Source organism: Homo sapiens, chromosome 7 (assembly GCF_000001405.40).
Source record: "Homo sapiens chromosome 7, GRCh38.p14 Primary Assembly".
NCBI classification, from domain to species: Eukaryota; Metazoa; Chordata; class Mammalia; order Primates; family Hominidae; genus Homo; species Homo sapiens.
Genome location: NC_000007.14, coordinates 13,462,757 through 13,484,259, shown reverse-complemented (window position 1 = coordinate 13,484,259; position 21,503 = coordinate 13,462,757). Strand labels below are relative to the sequence as shown.

The following is a 21,503-nucleotide window of genomic DNA, read 5'->3' as shown; positions in this document are numbered from 1 at the left end:
TAACAGTGAAATTGACTGATTCAGCAGGATACCACTCTTCCCAGACAGGTGTGACCAAAGTAAGAGTTTCTGCAAATCTGCTGAGGAGGATGCATTTTTCCATCGTGAATAATTACATCAACTGTTGCCCCAGGAGGGGAAGATAAAGAAATTCAATATTCTAGATACAGGATAATGACTTATTCACATTTGAAAAACCTATAGTCATGCTGAGAAGTGGGTTCCTATGTTTTGGTTACAGAAACTAAACACATTTTCTAATCAAGGGAATACTTTTAAATTCTGGCACACCAATCACACTTTGGAAAGGACCAACTCTCCATATTATAGTACTGAAAATACACAATATATACACTACAGAAGCTGATCCAATTATATGGCCAAAACTCAGTGAGTCTGTCTTTGGTTATATATGCTAATTTTAGTTCACCACATATTTACTTAGCATCCACTGTTCCAAGCATCGAGGTTAAGGAGGTAAATAATGTCATGTCCTTTTTCTGGGAAGCTGTTTCAAAAGGGATTATTTAACTACTGTGCAGCAAGTACCAAAACAAGAGTTTGGTTGTCTTGAATAACAATCAACATATATGGAGGGGTCACAGAAGATATCCTGGAATAGTGAACACAACAGAAAATGTACAAGGTTTGAGATAATATTACAGAACAAAACACTAGCCTTGAAACATAAATCAACAAAGAAGAAAAGGGTATTCTAGGAAATGGTAATAACATGTTTAGATGCCTAATGTGTCGTCAGATTTAAGAGTGAATTAATCATTTGTACACCAGTGAAAGATGTTGCATAATTTCCATGTGATGCAGTGAAATAAAAAGCTTCCATACTGTTGGAAGGTAAAGTTCTAAGCAGAGTTTAGTGGAACATAAGACTTGACTGATAATCTTGGGTAGGTCTAAAAGGCCTTTACACATTAGTTGTGATTAGTGGGAAAATCAAAATTATTGAAAAACTTCCACTTTGGAAATCTGGTTGTTATCCACCTATAACACCATATCCTAGCCATCTGTTGTTATAAACTTAGTTGCATTGAAGTGGAGGTTCTTAATCTTATAGCTAAGGAAAGAGAACACTTGGTCATGGCTGATAAAAAAGGAGATAGCTGGCTGGCAGCAGTGGCTCACACCTGTAATCCCAGCACTTTGGGAGGCTGAGGCAGGTGGATAGCCTGAGGTCAGGAGTTCGAGACTAGCCTGGCCAACATGGTGAAATACCATCTCTACTAAAAATACAAAAAATTAGCCAGGCATGGTGGTGGGCACCTGTAATCCCAGCTACTCAGAAGGCTAAGGCAGGAGAATCGCTTGAACCTGGGAGACGGAGGTTGCAGTGAGCCGTGATCATGCCATTGTACTCCAGCCTGGGTGACAGAAGGAGACTCCATCTCAAAAAAAAAAAAAAAAAAAAAAAAAAAAAAAAAAAAAAGAGATAGCTTGGCAGAACAATGATTCAAAGGGCATACCTGCCTACCACTATCCTGTTGATTACTAGCAAGTTGAATTCCCTGCAAATGAAGTCCACAGACAGTCAAATCGGGCTTTATGAGATAGTAGTCCCAGAAAACTGTAAGACTGGCAAATTGGAACTCTGCTATATTTTTTACTAGATGATAAAACTCACTGAGGCTAGAGACTGTGGAAACTTTGACCACCATCTTATAACTAGTACCTAAATCAATACCCAGCATATTATAAGGACTCAGAAAATAATTGTTGAATGAATGAATAAATCAAAGACCTTATAAATGAAATTAAGTTGAAATTGAAAAGATAAGTAGGAGATTTTGAGCCCTCTGTCAAAAAATAAACTATTGGTAAATTTCTGGAGCTGAGGGACAGTAAATACAGAGGGAATTGTGAGATTAGTACAGTTCTAGTGGTCTTGGACATTTCAGGAGAGGAAAATACGTTTGCAATAAACCCTACAGAAGAAAAAAGAGAGGTTCAGTGTAAAACAGAACACTTGGTGCCACTGTGCTAGTATGGAGGGCTTATGGAGATAGTGAGTATGAAAATGTACCAATCTTCATAGATGTATGACTTTTCCTCACAATACCCAGTAGCCTAGATATGGAAAAGAGAGTTATATTCAAATGATTCAAATTTGTTCTAATACTGTTTCCATTTCAAAATTCTAAGAAGTGATTACCAGAGGTATTTAAATTTGAAAATATGATATCAATAGTGTGTATTTTAGATTGGTAAAATTATAAAATAATTCAGTAGAAAAGTAAAATACTTCTTTGTAAACAATTGTTAAAAGAAAAACTTCTGGTGAATTACATTTAAAGAAGTTTAATTGATCAATGAACCATTCACGAATTGAGTAGCCCCCAGAATTACAGCAGATTCAGCCAGACTCCCATGCAGCCATGTGGTGGAAGAAGATTTATAGATGAAAGAAGGGAAGAGACATACAGAAATTGGAAGTGAGATATAGAAACAGCTGGATTGGTTAGAGGTTGGCATTTGCCTTATTTGAACACTTAGCAATGTATGAGTGGTTGAAGTATGGCTGCTGCTATTGGCCAAGACTCAGCTATTGTTACAGGCACATACTTCTAAGTTAGGTTTTCAATCTTGTCTGCCTATTAAGCTAGGTTACAGTTCATCCACAAGGACTCAAATATAAAGGTACAGAGTCCTTGTCAGGCTTTCACACCATTTATTTTAAATAGATGTTTAGGAATGAGAAGTTTATTATTAAAGAACTTAAGAACTTCTAAAGAAGATTATCTTATGCTTTTACTTTATTTATTTGTAGCCCATGACTTTATTTCTTGGAATAAAAGATTTATATTTCCTTGAAAAAAATTGGAGTACTGTTGTATACAGTAGATACACTAGGGGTGATAAATGTTTCCTTGAATATAATTATTTAAGTGCAATTTTTTAAATCTTAAAAAGTATTTATTTTATATACTGTTAAAATAGACATAATATTAGGAAAGCTGTATATTAGGCTTTTATGTCCTTTTTATACAGTTGTACTTGTACTTTGGTAGTTTTTAAAATGTTGGTCCTGTGGCTTGCTCATGTCCTAAGATTTAATAGTGAATTAATCATTCGTACACCAGTGGAAGATGGCTTAATCAATATCAGAAATATAGCCTTTACTAAAACAACATACACTTTGAATAAACCCCTCTTATGAACTGAGAGTCATATTTCTTAAAACATTAAACCAATAGCATTAAATTTGGTTTGGAATAAGAGTGATCTCAGAATCACATCTGACCAGTCTAACCCAAAATGTGCCCATCTATACATTCACATCTATGCAATAAACTCATCTAATACATTATTAACACAGGTTGAAAATAATAATGGACCAAGAATTAATTTTTTATGTGCAATATGAATCTTCAGTCTTGTACTTCACGAGAAGCAAATGAAATTTTCTAAACCAGCCAAGAGATTGGATGCAAAAATGATAAAAACATGGAATCTAATTTCAAACAATTTCTTAGTGAAATCAACTTACTGAAATGGTTCAGAACAATAATGACACTTACAAATGTATAGTGAATAGAACAATACGCACGAAGGAATCATCACCTTAACACTGGTTTGCTTTTTGAGCAGCTTTTGAGCAACATTCTGCTTTGTTGAATCCTGTCTTTACAATGTAGGGTCCATTTCCCAAAGTTCTTAAAGGAGGCAATTAAGATGTTGCAAGAAGTTCAAATATTTACAACTAGACAGTTGCTTGCTGTTTTAAAGTCTTATTTTGATAAAAATTAATGCTTAGCATTATAGTATCTTGCAAACCCTTGTCTCCATTCTTTACCCATAAGAAAGCATAGGAATATATGTGATATCCCCGAAATCACCACGATGGGAGGGTTCTTGAAACATAGTTCACATTTTCTTTATTGAACTGAGATTTCTATTTTCAAAAAAAATAAAAAAAATACACACACACACACACACACGGGAAACACAATCCTCATCTACATACATATGTATATGTAAATAATTTTTAGAGAGAGCACACTGCTGCTTCCAAGCGCAAACTTTAGAATGTTTCCTATATGGCAGCAAGAACCACAGGATCCATGAAAAGCTAAGGCTTTCTGTTGGCTGTGTCATATGTTCCCAGTGCTTTGAAGAATGAGTGGTATGATCTAGGCCCTTTATAAGGATTCAATTAATGTTGCCAAATGTGTCTTCATTTGGATGCAAACAGCTGAAAACCAAAGAGCATTGAGTTTTCATCATTTTTGTTTGACCCACTATATATATAACACTAATACTCTTTTTGGAAAAGTTATGTTATCCAGAAGAGTCATGCAATGATTTTTCTAAGAAATAAATTTTTGAGTTGTGGTTCATGTAGAAATCACTTGTCTTGAACACTTTGTACTGTTTAAATGCATATATTTTGGAAAGTGCCTTAATACTTAATTCGAGAGTAGATTTGTCACTGGCTAGTTATGATATGTACTCTTAAGCGAGAAATTTCTCTCCTTGACCAAACGTAAGCCAGGCTCTTCTGAGCCCTTTTCTTGACTAGGCCTCCACGTTTGCTATAAAGACTTGAAAAAACATTAACATAGGTTCTAACAGCTCAAGGCCACATCCCTAACATAATTCAAGCCCCCGTTAACGTGCCTGCCTGAGAAGACTCAAGTCTGGCCCCAAAATTTTACAGTTGATTTCAGCCAACACCTGAGGATAGGGCCTCTGTCTTCCCGTCTCTGTGTGAGGATAGAATACTAACTTTGATAATTGCTTGCTGGCAGACAGAGCTAGCTTAATACCATTTACTCTGGGTGACCCTTTGTAATTTTTCACTTCCCTGATTCAACTGATCCCTAACTCTCTCCTCTCCCTATTCCCTCATTCTTAATTTAAATACTCACTAATTTCTATACAAATTGAAGCTGAGTTCAGTCTACACTGGAGACTTTTTCTTCTATACAAATTAAAGCTGAGTTCAGTCTATACTGGACAATTTTTTCTATTGCAATAGTTATTATTAAAATCTTTCCATATCACTTGAGAGTGCAGATTTGTGTATATTTGAAACAAGCTATCATTTAACATTTTAGGGTCTCAGTTTCCTCATTTGTAAAGTGTGGATACTAATTACTAGTATACAGTTTTATAGGATTGTTGAGAGGGTGAAATAATACATGCCATGCACCTTGTCCAGTTGTCAAACAGAAATTAGAAATGCTTCTGCCATTTTCCTTTTTCTTTGCCCATGGTGATAAGTTTTATATGACAATTCCAAACATGAATTTTCATAAAACCAGACAGTAAGTAGTATGTCCAACTGGCTTCCAGAATATTGAAACAATACATTACACACCATCCACTCAAATGCATTTAGATTGTCCTGAGCACATTTTCATATTTTCTCAATAATGAAATAAGTGCCTGTCTCTCATTCTCCCCCTACCACCTTTATGTATGGTCATAGTACTACACATTTTCAAGTTTTATATGCTAGGCCTAATGCATCATGTCTTTTGCTCCTTAACAGCAGAATAAATATTTAGAAGCAGGATATATGCCTGAATTTCCAAGAGCATTCAAAAATAAGGGTCACATAGAGAAGGTCACGAATGTGTTCTGTGCCGAGTCCCCCATTGAACTACTAGGCAGAACAAGTGTGCTAGCTCTGTCTTCCTAGACTCAGAAGAGTTGTCTACGGACAACACCATAGATGGCATCTTCAACAGTCATGTATGGTGGACAGCATGGACTGTCTACGAAATTGCTTTAGGTAGACACGCACCCACTGATTCTCTTCTCTCATATTGCTGATTCTGTATCCTAGCTTCTGATTTCTGCTTTTGAACTCTTATGATTTTAAGTTCAAGTTATGCTTCCCTCTTTTCTCTACTAGAATTCCCATTCAGCATGATGGACATTGCTAATGTTAATGTTCCCTCTGCACGGACTTCCTTTAACTGCCTGAAAATGCAGACTGTTTGTCTCCTCTTCCAGAAGAAAAAACCGAGGCAGGAGTAGATGAAGAGCTGTGATGGACAGAATAACCATTTTCTGATTGTGATTTTCCTAAACTCAGATAATAGTTAGAGGGAAAAGAGAGAGAAAATAGATGTACAGGTAAGCACCTGGATAGTGCACAGGAGAAATGTGAGAATGCCATGATTGATCCCACAATCATCTAGCAATGAGGATTATATAATGGTGAGAAGACTTTCCCTTTGCAGTGTTGTTATTTAAATAGTTAATAACTTTTATTTCATATTATATTATTTGTGTTCCATAACGCTTTTGGAAGTTTAAAATCTGGATATTTATTTAGAAAGGAATACTTATACTTCACTTACAAACTGGGTCGATACATGATATTATAAAAAATATTAGAGTAAAGGCTCACTGGCTTCTATTCTACTTGTTTAGAGTTTTTTGTTTTATACTGTTGTTTATATGGTTTCTCTATATCCATAGATCATCCAGTGATTCAGGCACAGTGAATGAAATGGGAATCGAGTTATCAGAATTGGGGTAAAAGTATCTTGTGAACAGATAACATTTTATTATGAGGACTAAGGCATAAATTTAAAGACTGTTTAACAAGTGGTAGCTGAGTTTCAGATTATTGGGCTAAAATTCTTTCAGCTCCTGTTGAATTTGACAGGCTATATTAAATTGAGAGAGGGTCTGAAGCATGATAGGGAATGTGCTGTGACTTGACCTCTGCTGTAGACAAGAGGTGGTATTAATGGGAACACAGAAAATCCTATCAGTTTTCTATGAAATGTGGAGGCAAATCATGAAAAGGATTAATAAACATAATTCCAAGAGCATGTATTCACTTTGTGTCTCTGCGTTATATTTTGGTAATTCTTGAAATATTTCAAGATTTTCATTAATATTATATCTATTATGATGATCTATAATCAGTGATCTTGATGTTACTATAATAATTGCTTTGGGATGCCAGAAACCACTTCCATTAAAGATGGCAAGCTTAATCAATATATGTGTGTGTTCTGATTGCTCCACCAAGTGGCCATTTCCCTGTCTCTCTTCCCTCCCTGGGCCTCCCTATACTCTGAGACACAACAATATTGAAATTAGGCCAATTAATAACCCTACAATGGCCTCTAAGTGTTCAAGTGAAAGAAAGAGCTGTACATCTCTCACTTTCAGTCTAAAGCTAGAAATGATTAAGCTTAATGAGAAAGGCATGTCAAAAGCCAAGACAGGCCAAAAGTAAAGCCTTCTGTGACAAAACTTTAGCCAAACTGTGAGTGCAAACGCACAATTTGTGAAGGAAATTAGAAGTGCTACTCCAGTGAGCAGATGAATAATAAGAAAGTGAAACAGCTTTATTGCTGATGTGGAGAAAGTTTTAGTGGTGTAGATAAAAGATCAAACCAGCTACAACATTCCCTTAAGCCAAGGCCCAATACAAAGCCTTAACTTCCTTTAATTCTCTGAAGGCTAAGAGACATGAAGAAGCTTCAGAAAAAATGTTTGAAGGTAGCAGAGACTGGTTCATGGCATTTAGGAAAATAAGCCATTTTCATAACATGAGAGTGCAATGTGAAGTTCCAAGGGTAGATGCAGAAGCTGCAGCAAGTTATCAAGAAGATCTTGCTAGTATAATAGATGAAGGTAACCACTAAATAACAGATTTTTTTGTTGTAGATAAAACAACCTTATATGGGAAGAAGATGCCATCTAGGACATTTGTAGTTAGAGAGGAGAAGTCAATACCTGGCTTCAAAGCTTCAAAAAACAGGCTGACTCTTTCATTAGGGATTAATGCAACTGGTGACTTTAAGTTGAAGGCAATACCCATTTACCATTCCAAAAATTCTAGGGCCCTTAATAGTTATGCTAAATCTACTCTGCTAGTGCTCTGTAAATGCAAGAACAAAGCCTGGATGACAGTACATCTGCTTATATCATGGTTTACTAAATATTTTAAACTCACTGTTAAGACCTACTGCTCTAACAAAAAAAAAAGAGATTCCTTTCAAAATAGTATGCTCATTGACAATGCAATGAGAGAACCAAGAACTGTGATGAAAATGTACAAGGAGATCATTGTTGTTTTCATGCCTGCAAACACAGTATTCATTCTGGAGTCCGCGGAGTGAGAAGTGATTTTGACCCTCAAGTCAAAAAAAAAAAAATCAGTTTTATAGGGCTACAGCTGCCATAGATAGTGAGTTGTCTGATGAAACTGGCAAAACAAATTGAAAGCCTTCCAGAGAGGATTCATGATATCTAAAATATATTTTAAATATCATTTAAGAACATTTGTGATTCAAGGGGGAAGGTCAAAATATCATTAATAAAATTTGGAAGAAGTTGATTCCAACTCACATGGATGACTCTGAGGGGCTCAAGATTAGTGAAGGAAGTCACTGCAAATGTGGTGGAAATGGCAAGAAAACCAGGATTAGGAGTGAGCTGTGAAAATGTGACTGAATTGCTGCAATCTCATAACAAAATTTGAATGGATAAGGAATTTCGTTTGATGGATGAGCAAAGAAAGTGGTTTCTTGAGATAAAATGTACTCCCAGTGAAGATACTGTGAATATTGTTGAAATTTAGAACAAAGGATTTAGAATATTACATAAACTTAGTTGATGAAACAGCAGCCAGGTTTGAGAGGATTAACTCTAATTTTAAAAGAAGATCGACTGTTGGTAAAATGCTATCAAACAGCATCACATGCCAGGGAGAAATATTTTGTGAAAGGAAGAGTCAATTGATGTGGCAAACTTCATTGCTGTCTTATTTTAAGAAATTTCCACAGCCACCCCAACCTTCAGCAACCACCATCCTGATCAGTCAGCAGCAATCAACACAGAGGCAAGACACTTCGCCAGCAAAAATATTTTGACTCACTAACGGCTTAGATGGTCATTAGCATTTTTAGTAATAATGTATTTTATAATTAAAATATGTACATTATTCTTAGACATAATGCTACTGCACACTTAATAGACTGCAGTATAGTGTAAGCATAACTTTTATATGAACTAGAAACCAAAAACTTTGTGTAACTCACTTTATTATGGTGGTCTGGAACTAAACCCATGATATCGCCAAAGTATGCCTATATATGTACTACAATTTCTTTACCCATTCATACATTGGTGGCTACTTGTTTCCATATCTTGGCTATTGTGAATAATGCTGCAATGAAAAAGGTGTTGCAGATATCTCTTCAAGATACTGATTTCATTTTCTTTGTATATATACCCAGTAGTGGGATTGCTGAATTGTATGGTAGCTCTATTTTTAATTTTTGAGAAATCTCTATACTGTTTCCATAATGGCTGTACCAATGTACACTCCCATAAACAGTGTATAAGAATTTATTTTTATCCACACCTCCACCAGCACTTATTATCTCTTGTTTTCTTGATAATAGCCATCCTACTATGTTTGAGGAGATAGCCCAAACTTTGTTCTTTTTCCTCAAAATGTATTTGCCTATTTGGTGTCTTTCATGGTTTCAAAATAATTTTAGTATTCTTTCTAATCTGTTAAAAGTGTCACTGGAATTTTAATATGGATTGTATTGATCTGAAGACTCCTTTAGGTATTATGGAAATTTTAACAGTATGATTTCTTCTAGCCCATGTTTATGGCATAGTTTTCCATTTATTTGAGTCTTCCCCAATTTCTTTTTAATCAATGTCTCATAGTTAGTGTACAGAGCTTTCTCCTCCAATTAAATTTACTTCTAAGGATTTCATTATTTTTGATGTCATTATAAATGGAATTTTTAATCTTTATTACTTTTTCAGAGAGTTCATTGTTAGTGTATGGAAACAAAAGTGCTTTTTGTATATTGATTTTTATTTATTTATTTATTTTGAGATGGAGTCTCGCTCTGTCCTCAGGCAGGAGTGCAGTGGTGTGATCTCAGCTCACTGCAACCTCCACCTCCTGGCTTCAAGCGATTCTCCTGCCTCAGCCTCCCGAGTAGCTGGGACTACAGGTGCAAACTACCATGTCCAGCTAATTTTTGTATTTTTAATAGAGACAGGGTTTCACCATGTTGGCCAGGATGGTCTCGATCTCTTGACCTTGTGATCTGCCCGCCTCAGCCTCCCAAAGTGCTGGGATACAGGCGTGAGCCACCGCGCCCGGCCATATTGATTTTTTTACCTGAAACTTCCTGATTTTATTAGTTCTAACAGTTTTTTGATGGACTCTTTAGGGATTTTATATATAAGATTATGTCATCTGCAAACAAGCAATTTAACTCCTTTTTCAATTTGGATACCTTTTATTTCTCTTGCATAATTGTTCTGGCTGGGACTTTCAGTACTATGTTGAGTGAAAGTGATGAGAGTGGGCACCCTTGTCTTATTTCTGACGCTGGAAAAATTTTTCAGCTTTCACCACTGAGTGTGATGATAGATGTCGGCTTGTTACATATAGCCTTTATTATGTTGAGGTACATTCTTCTATCGATAATTTGTTAAACATTTTTATTATGAAAGGATGTTGAATTATGTCAAATGCTTTTTCTGAGTCTATTGAGATGATCATATAATTTTTATACTTCATTCTGTTAATATGTTCTATCATATTTATTGATTTGCATATACTGAACCATCCTTGATTCCCAGGAATAAGTCCCACTTAATCATGGTGTATGATACTTTGAATATGCTGTTGAATTTTGTTAGTATTTTATTCACCATTTTTTTAAATCTATGCTCATATGGGATACTGTCCTGTAATTTTCCTGTATAGTTTCATTACCTGGCTGTGCTTTGAGGGTAATGCTGGCCTCATAAAAATCAGTTTGGAAGTGTTCTCTTTTTGCTATAGTTTGAATGTTAGACCCTTCAAACCTCATGTTGAATTGTAATCCCCAGTATGGCAGTGTTAGGAGGCAGAGCTTGGTTGGAAGTGTTTGGATCATGATGATGGATTCCTCATATATGGTTTGTTGCCATTCTTGAGGTAGTAAATTCTTACTCTCACGAGACTGGATTGGTTCTTTGGAGGAAATGGATTAGTTCTCAAAATAGTAAATTTTTTTTTTATTTTTTTATTATTATTATTTTTTACTTTATTTTTTTTATTATTATACTTTAAGTTTTAGGGTACATGTGCACATTGTGCAGGTTAGTTACATATGTATACATGTAAATTTTTAAAAGGAGTCTCACACCTCCCCACCTTTATCTTGGTTTCTCTCTTACTTTGTAATCTCTGTACATAAATGCTTTCCTTTGCCTTCCTCCATGAATAGAAGTAGTGTGAGACTTTTGCCAGAAGCAGATGCCAGCACCATGCTTCGTATACAGGCTGCAGAACTGTGAGTCAAATAAAGATCTTTTTTTTTTTTTTCCTTCTGAGACAGAGTCTCACTCTGTCACCCAGCCTAGAGTGCATCGGCACAATCTCGGCTCACTGCAACCTCCGCCTCCCAGGTTCAAGCAATTCTACTGCCTCAGCCTCCCAAGAAGCTGGGATTACAGGCTCCTGCCACCATGCCTGGCTAATTTTTCTTTTTCTTTTTTTTTTTTTTTGTTTGGATTTTTAGTAGAGACGGGGTTTTGCCATGTTGGCCAGGCTAGTCTCAAATTCCTGACCTCAGGTGATCCATCCATCGCAGCCTCTCAAAGTGCTAGGATTACAGGAGAGAGCCACCACGCCCAGCCTCATCTTTTCTTTACTACCCAGCTATAAGTGTTCTTTTACAGTAACACCAATTGACCTAAGACACTTCTTCAATTTTTGGAAGAGTTTGAGAAGGACTGACATTAGGTTATCAATTAAAAATTTAGTTTAAATGTTTGGAAAAATTTAGCAGTATAGCCATCAGGATCATGTCTTTTCTTTGGTGTGAAGTTTGTTTGTTTGTTAAGAGGAGAATTGTCTTAGATCCAGAGGTTAGAAGACTGAGATCAGATGGTAGGATTGGTTCTTTCTGAGGGAGGTGAGGAAGAACCTGTTCCATGTGTTTCCCCCTTGGTTTCTGGTGGTTTATTGGCAGTCTTTGTTTGGTGTTTCTAGACTTGCAAAAGCATCACTCAATCTCTGATTTCCTTTTCGCAAGGTGTTCTACCTGTGTTCCTGTCTCTGTATCAAATATTTCTCTTTTTATAAGAACTCCAAGAATACTGAATTATGTACAAGAATATAACTTTTATAATTTTTATTTAAATCAGGGATTGATAATTTTTTCTGTAAAGTTAGATCATAAATACTTTAGGCCTTGTAGGTATCATTTGGTATCATGGCATCTTCTTTTTTAAAAAAAATTCTCAAAAAATATAACCATTCTTAGCCTGTAGGCCATTCAAAAACAGGCTCCACTGGTGACATTTGGCCTGAGTGCCATGTAGCTTGAGGAACCCTGCTCTAAACTGACATTTTGCGTTTGTCATTATTTTATTTTAGATTATTCATGTATGGTTACTAGTGAGATAGATAGCCGGCAGTTTTTCTCTCTTACTGTGCTTCTCTGGTTTTGACTTCAAAATTAAGTTAGAGAGATGGAATAAGATCTAGTGTTCAGTAGAACATAGAGTGACTATATTTAACAATAATTTAGTGTATATTTCCCACTTACTCTGATTTGATCATTACACTTGTAAAAAGCAGATAAGGAGAGAAGAATTAAAATCTATCACTATAAGAATTAAATAAATCACAAAGGAATACAGAGAGATTGGAAGAAAGAAATAACAGAACTATAAAGCAGTCAGTAAACAATTAGAAAAATAAGAATAGTAAATCTTTACATATCAATAATTACTTTATATGTAAATGAATTATTCAATCAAAAGACACACAGTGGTTATGTGGATTAAAAAAAAAAAAAATCACAAGATCCAACAATATGCTGCCTACAACAGCCCACTTTAGCCTTAAAGTTGTATACAGGCTGAAAATAAAGTGATGAAAAAAGTTATTCCATGCACATAGTAACCAAAAGAGAGTGAAGGTAGCTATATTTATAAGCAAACAAAACAGATTTGCACTGAAAATCTGTTACAAGAGGCAAAGACAATCACTATATGATGATAAAAGGTTCAATTCATTGTAAGTTGTAATAATGGTATATATATGTGCAATTATATATATCTTATATAATTGCACATATATATGTGCAATTATATATAAACACACATATGTAAAATGTTGGGAATAAACATACACACATGTATATGTACAATTATTGTACTGCAGCACCTAAATATGTAAAGCAATAGTAAGGAACTTTAATACCCCATTTTAAACCTATAGATCTCTTCTTAATTCACTGTTTTTCTCTCAGTCACTGTTCAACTGCACTAATGACTGAAAAATTCATCTTGTAGTGCCTTATCGAATATGGCATTTACTTTGAAAGTTCATCCACAGTCTTTCAGCTTAGATTCCAGCATTTCCCAACTTATAAAGTATTTTACCAAATTAAAGCCATATCTTCTCACAATTAAAGTGATAATGCATTCATTTGTGGTCTCTTGAAGAGCTCAAAGTATTTGAAAATATATAGTATTTCTGTTCATTCTCAAGTTACTGATTTCCCTAAAACAATTAAACTTTTCATCTGGGCTAACTAAAATGGTCACTGTTTGTTATTTACTTGTAAATTTAAATATATGTGTCCCAGTTAGTTTGATAATTAACATTGGTTTAATGTTAAAGTCTTACATTTCCTTTCTGCAAACTATATGTCCCTTTTAATAAAAATTTTTTGATGATAAGTAATTTCATATTGGAAATATGAAAAATGGCATCTGGTAAGCCAAGCATAGTCACATCAAGTCAAAAACAGTTCTAGAACTGAATCTCACTTAAAAATAAGTATTTAAAATAAAAATAAAATCAAAACAGAGTAAGGAATTTCAATCATTTGTATATTGCTCAAAATTTCAGATGGATATAATAAATAATGTTTAATATTTTCAGTGGAAAGTAATATAACATTTTGTAAGACAATTAACAATTTAAAAGATTTATATTAAATGTATTGTTTCTATTAAAATATAACTTTTTGTTTTCTATCATGTAAGACCTAAATTCTCATTACTAGGTTTACTACCTCTTGGAAACCCAAACTGCTTAAGTCATTTTCGCACAACTATTTTTCTTATTAAAAAAGAAATAAGTGCTTACCTAAAACATTTAGAAAATTATAATATGAGAGGAAAATTTAACCATATATTCTGCCACCATTCAAATACTATTAAAATGTAGGTATGAGACCTAGCATAAGTCTGATAGGTATATATCCTACCAGAATATTTTGTTTATAGTCTAAATATTTTAACATTTTTTTCTTACCCTATTTTCTTTTAAAAGATAATATCTACCAATAATATTTTCCATATTTTAGCATATTTGTTTAAAATATAACAATGTATGGATATAATTTTGTGCTATAGAAATACTTACACACTTACCTATTAAACTTGATCTCTAATTTGTGGGAGACCAAGATATTTCCAAAGTTCTACTCTATGACAATGTGATGTATTCTTGCCTCATGATTAATATAATTTACTCAAGAAAAATGACCAAAAGTGGGACGCTGAACCATAAGTTATCAAAAAATCAAAACCTTTTGTTTGTTAAACTTTACTAAATTATTTTACAGAAGTGATTCTGCATTTATTGAAGGAAGGTAATTTCCTGTTTTTCTGCCTTTGTCGAGTATTACTATTATTTTTAAAATCTCTGACAAATTAGTATGTCAAATATAACATCTAATCTTTGTCTTAATTTGCATTTCTGTGAATATTGAGGATGTTTTACATATTTATTTGTATGTGTTTGTATATGTATTTACTTTCAAATTAATTTTTTCTTTCCATTAGCTTATTTTCCAATGGTAAATATATATGATTTAAAATTCATCTGTGTATGTAATAATATTGAAAATTGTTTTGCAGTGTAGTTTTTCATTATCCTTGTGACTTAAAAAATTTTAAGTGTAAAAGCATGAGTATACTTTATGTGGCCAAATCTGCTTCTATTTTCTTACAACAGTAAGTGTAACAGTGCCTTTACTGTCACACTTGAAAGGCACCATCTAATCTATCCAAGATATTTAAGTTCTCTACATATTTTCTAGTAAGTTATTTCCTTACGAATATTTAAATCGTCATCTACTTAAACATTTTTTGGTATGAATATGATTTTAACTTTAAAAATGCCCTTAATTCTATGGTATGACTATGATTCTAATTTTAAAAATGTCCTTAATTCTAATACCATATAAAAATCATATTATCCCATCCATTTGGAAGACCACATTGTTTTATAAAATATTTAAATTAATTTACATCTAATTATATACTTCTTAGTGTAGTCTTTTGCTTTATCTGTGCCTATGCCATATATATACTATTTTCATTCTTATAGCTTCCAGGATATGTTCCTTCTCAATTATCTTCTTCAAAATTTATTTGATGCTTTTGCAGCTTTTTCCCCCTTCTAGGTACATTTGAAAGTTATTCTAATACATTTCATGAATGTATTTTTTGATGATCTTAACCAGTATTATATTTATACATTTACTTGAGATAAACTGATATTGTGATAATGTTGTGTCTTCTCAAAGGAGAATATTGATTATGCTTTTCTAAACATATTTTACTACTAGAATATTGGATATTAGTTACTAAATAACTTTGGAATACTTTTATATAAAGAGAGGTACATTTTTGACCCATGTATATTATTGAGTATGATTCACTATAGTCCTTAATACTGGATTTAGTAAATTTTGTTTCCAAACAGAAACCTGTTAGAAAGCAAAAGATAGTCCCAGTTTTTTGAGAAATATAACTGTTTCTGTCTAAGAAAACTAAAGTTTGGTTAATAAAATAAATCCAAGGACTCAAACGTTATTGTTAAATAAAGAGTAAATCAATGAACAAATATTATTTAAAATCTCTGTCGTGAGTTTTTTCTAATACTAAAAATTTGGATTTTTGCTCTAAGAAAAAGTATGTTAGGAGACCTAAATATGCTTTATTTAAGATGTATTCTCCATACTACTTTCTGATGAGTGATTGAGGAATGATTCTGAGTGTAGCTTTTTTAGTCCGATTGGTATCGGTGATCAGCCTAGTCAATGAGACCTGTACTAATGGATACCTCTTGTTATTTGCTAATCGTGAGACTGTTTAAATGAAAAATGAGCATTCATTCAGTGGAAAGTTGTAATACAAATAATTCACCAATGACTTTATTATCGAATGTTTAAACACAGTCTTTTCATCAATTCCCATCCATGTATGTATAGAAGGATGAAAACGGGTGTGGCTTGTTCTATATATAGGATTTGCAACTTCTGAACTGTGCATATTTTTTTTGATTATGAGAATGACTGACGATTTTGTATTTTCCAAAAAAGTAAAACACTATATCCATGAAACTATATGCTTTTCTTGGATTATTTTGAAATGCGTGGTCCTTAAATTTTCCAGACATAGTTTTGCTCTATTCTTCTAACTGAAATTAATTCTTAAACTTAAAAATTGATATTAAGTAAAAATAAAGTTAGGAGATCCATGTCATTCTGCTGCAAAGTATTTTTTTAAAGTCTTGTACTTGAAGATGCATTCACAAGTAGATACGATGAACTTAATCTGAAGTGTTTTAACCAATTCAAAGTTCCCTGTTATATAGCTATTTTAAAAGGTTATATAAAACCATTTTGTTGCTATAGATTTTGAATTCACATATCACTAAGTTCCACTACAGTGAACTTGTATTATCACTTCATAAAACTCATTCAGCTTCATCATTCCAGCAAAGATATGACAAGGCTGTTTATCAGTAGGTAATAAGACAGATAATTTAACTGTACAAGCTCTAATTGGTCTAATTCACTAACTGACCTCTCACCACTTGATTCACTAGTACAATTGAGCTCTGATAAAGCCTTTAATTGTAAATTGCACACAGCTGTGAGCTGCTTCTCACGCTGGCACAAAAACACTATCATCGACTGTTTCATCTCTGCGACCTGCTAATTTAGAGCATATGTAACTGTTTTTAATGCTGAAGGCTTGACATACCACAAACAGCAGATGTTGCAGCTGCCCCTGAGACGCTTTATTTAATTCAATTACGTCTTTTGGAGATATGTAAAAAAGCTAGGCAAGATGAGAGAGGGCAGGAGAATGTTAAAAATGGAGCCCCTGGTTGAGGCCCAGGTGGCTCGATAGGCAAATGATTGGGTGAATGTCTAAATGATCTTTTTAATTGAGTAGACTGACGGCTAATCAGGGTCATGAAGTGTTATCACACTGATGAGCTGAGTGGAGCCCTGGGCTGCTCTGCAATTAATGCTGCTTTTGTGAAAGGAGAAAAAAGAAAGATAATGTATACCATCTGGCAATTGTTTATGATAAAAGCAGCAGTTTGCTGCAAATTCAAGTTAAATGCTATTCATAACATTATTTTTGCTGCTGCTGAGGGCAAGGACACGAATCCCAGGCCTTTGTCTTACTTCTCATTCTGATTCTCAACCAAAATATTCATTTTCTTTCACGTGTGTTATTATTAATTACTTGGCTGCTTGCTAATGTATGGCCTGAATGCTTCCCTGTTTGATATGCCAATAAAAAGCCCAGCATATACTTTTGGAATCTGTTACAAGTAGTTTCATGCCAATGTATCTGATTACAATAAAACAAAGCAATGGCTAAAGTCACAGCCAAAACTCAGAGAAAAACCGTGAGGTGTTTTTGGGTTTTTTTTGTTTTTTCTTTTTTTGTCCTAAAAGGTTTGTCTCTTTAGTATCTCTGAGATTAATAAAAAGAGGGGAGGATGAAGTTTTAAAAACAATTAAAAAATGTCTGTGTGAAGTGATTTTTTTCCTGCCTCGAGATCAGCATTTGCAAACTTTAAAGCACATTAGGATTATTCAAAAACTGCTCATTTTTTTCTCTTTATCACTTAAGATATATGTAAAAGGAATATCATAAAAATTGATATAAGGCTAAAAACTTAAAGTATTGATTGATTTGTTAACTAAATATGAGGGTTATACAGGAGTTTGTCAGACACAACCATACAAAAAATAGGTTGGCTTTTTATCTTGAATCATCAATGAGACCAAAAGCTTTAGCAAGGTCAACTATGGTTTAGAAAAGACAGAAATGTACCATTTCTTTCAGACACATAGATACAAGACTTTTGTGTCACTGTCACTTCAAATTATCAAAAACTACAAGAGCATATATATTCTGGAGTATAACCTGAGAAAATAAAATGCAACCTAAAATCAAGGAATTAGCTTTAAAGTGGTAAAGTAGATGTAGAATTTAAACACATAAATATAGTTTATGCAGCCACATTCCATCATTTGGAATTTCTTTGGTTGCCTCAGATGTAGCTGAGATGAATGCTGGCTTTAACTGTTATCTGTTAGTTGGAAGAAAATGTAGTGCCCGACCCAGAATCTACTTTCAGAAAGATAAAGGTATCACTAAGTATAATTTATCAAGCATTTATGGAAGTTTCCTACTACATTCTGGACTCTGTGCTAAGTACTGGGAAAACAATGATAATAGACACAGAAATTGCCATTAAGAAAGTAAAAGTCTGGTGGAGGAGAAAGATAAATCAGCAACATTCACTGTAGAGTGCCATGAGGCAAGTAAGGGGCTGTGAGAATTTACAGGTGGAAAAACCGAATCCAGACTTTGAAAAAAGGTAGAGGCGGCTATTAGGGAAAAGTTCCTAGAGAAGATAACATCAAAGGTGGGTGGTAAACATTTGTTAGAGTCTATAGAAGGCTTCACTTTTCTTCAGAATGTGTGAGAAATTGAAAAAAGCTGTTACAGAAAAACCTTCTTATCAAAGAAACGTAAAGTGATGTGACAGAAAGGTCTTCCTGAAACAACCCTAGAAAGGCTCAATAAATACTTGCTAAATAAATACATGGATAAATTTATATAAAGTTAATGCACATGTGACATCAGAGAATAATTTATACTCACAGTCCTCATCTGGGGGTGCAGAGACTTGTCTCCCATAAAGATGACAAAGAAGAGCATTAGTGAACACAATTACTCCACCACACAGAATTACTACAGATATGCAGTAAGATTAATCGTCTGTGTCAATTTTGTCACCTCAAGTAGATTGTGACCTCCATAAAAGCAAGAATGATATTTACATTTTTACATTTCTTCAATTGTTTCTAAAATGACTTCCATAACATTACAGTTGCAGACATGTGATGACTACCTGCACAATATTAGCAAAAAATCTTGGTGGTGGAGGGGCCAACAGTATGGCTACGTAAAGGTGTCTGTTTTCTTCAAAGGGCAGGTTTGTACACGATGATGGTCACGGAGGGGGAAAGGAAAGGGAGCAAACACAAAAATCATAAACTACTCTCAAAGTTACTTAAGATAAAATCAGATCTACTGTTGCATAAGATTTTTAGGAAAAGAATCCAGTTGAAAGTAGCAAAGAAACAAACAAAACACACACACCCTACACAGAAAAAAAACAGTCATTTTGATTTGAAAGAAGCATTAGACCTACCATGTCATATAAATGCAAATGAAAGCTGGATAGTTTCCTTTTAGGAAAACCATGCTGAACAGGTCCTCACTATTAATAACAGAGTCAGCTAGTGGACATAGGATACTTCTTATATACAACAGGACTGGAAAGGAAAAGAACAGAAATAAAAGGTGTCAGGGTTAGAAGTCAACCTCTAGTGCCTGGAATTATAAAAGGCAAGTTTATGTCAAATTATCTGAGGGAACATAGTATTAATTTGAATGATATCCATTAATATCAATACCAATGCTTATTATTTGCCAAGGATTGTGCTAAATGCTTTATTTATTTATGTAAAGATCTGATTTGATCTTTATAACATCCTTTCAGATAGATGTATTATCTCTCAATTTCTTTTTTTTTTTTTAACTTATTTTCAGTTCAGGGGTACATGTGCTGGTTTGTTACACAGGTAAACTTATGTCATCGGGGTTTATTGTACAGATTATTTCATCACCCAGGTATTAAGCCTAGTACCCATTTCTTATGCAGAAATAGAGACACAAGAAGGTCCTATAACTTAGGCAGATTTATAAAGTTAGTAAAGGAAGGAGCTAGGATTTAAACCAACTTCTGACTGCAGAAACCGATACTCTTTAATATACTTTAATGCTTATGTTGGGTAGTGTTTAGACATATGAGAATCATTCTTGAGCTAAACCCTGTTTTTATTTTCTTTATATAGACATAAACGAGTATTTCAAAATTATTTTATTGGTATATTTGGTAATATTCTTTAACTTTTGGCAATACCTGTAGGCTAACCATAAAATATTTATTTATTTAAGGCAGAAAATAGACCTTCTCATGCTCTAAAACTTCCAACAAAGGAAACTCAAAAGATTGCCTGAACAAGGAATCCAATTCCACCGAAGGTTTAGAAAAAGTAGTGGTTTTCTTTCTTTTTCAATATAATCTATTAATCCAATGGAATAATTGTTACTGCACTGACAAAGACAAATAATTTTTTAGTTTATGCTATGTTTTTTTCATGCCATTATGCATTTACCTATTATGTAGCAGGTACAGAAAGTAAAGGGAAATAAGTGATTTTTTTTCCTATTCTTGAGGGGTTTCCAGTATAGTTTAGGAGACAGATATGTAAAGGAATAACGACGATACAAAGACAACTAACACCTGCCTAAATTTGCTTAAAATATGTTCATGATTCCCACATGAACTGATCTTGCTGATCCAGCTAAGTTCCTAAGCACTGCTTGAGGAAATGTCAGAGTTGTGTTCCAAGTGAGAATCTAGCAATAAAAGGCACATGCAGAAAGGGGTGGAAGCTGGGGAAGAGTCCCAGAAAAGCATCCAAAAGCAAATAAGAGGCCAACCCAAGGAGTCCTGTATGGGAAAAGCACATGAAAACAGATTTAATAAATCTCAAGGTCAGTCAACCAAGTGATAGAGAGGGAAGAAAATGAAAGATAGAATTTACACAACATTTTAATGTTCTAGTTCACTGCAGAGGATTGACAGGGGAGCGCAATGCTGAATGTTACAATGCTATGTCACAATAACAATGGAGACTCTATGGGAAAATCATCTAAATCAGGATCCAGTGACAAGAAGGCTCTTCCTACTCTTATATTGCCTTCGTGGAATTATAAATTTTTACTAGAAAGACTGAGAGTCAATAAGTACATTATGTTCGAACACTGTAAGTTTTTTTTCTGTCTATCTATATATCTTTGTCACTTTTCTTGTTAACATTTGCACAAATTTGAGGTGATTCTTCAAGACTCGTAATTTTGCCCACAAAATGCTGTGGGAATCAAGATTCAACTCTGGTAGAATTGTATTAATAACCCAGGAAGTGGGTGATTATTTTTAGGCTATGAGATACACAGAGCCTTTTGGCACTAGGAAAGAAGATGAAAAAAAGAAACCATACTAGTGTGGACTAAATTTCAAAGGGAAGGTGGGCTTCGGGTTGATCTTTGAAAGTTGGGAGCACAGTGGGGAAGAA

At 34.0% G+C, this 21,503-nt stretch overlaps 1 long non-coding RNA gene across 1 annotated transcript in view, besides 1 other annotated feature; it reads right to left on the bottom strand.

Moving 5' to 3' along the window:
• LOC107986770 (uncharacterized) overlaps nucleotides 1-21,503 on the bottom strand; it is a 407,223-nt gene that overhangs the window by 218,199 nt on the left and 167,521 nt on the right. The window lies entirely within an intron of this gene.
• Nucleotides 16,609-17,678: an enhancer, noted in NCBI's record as "VISTA enhancer hs550". NCBI's record gives its function as "enhancer in: forebrain[3/5] | branchial arch[3/5]" and the evidence as "EXISTENCE:transgenic organism evidence [ECO:0001131][PMID:17130149]".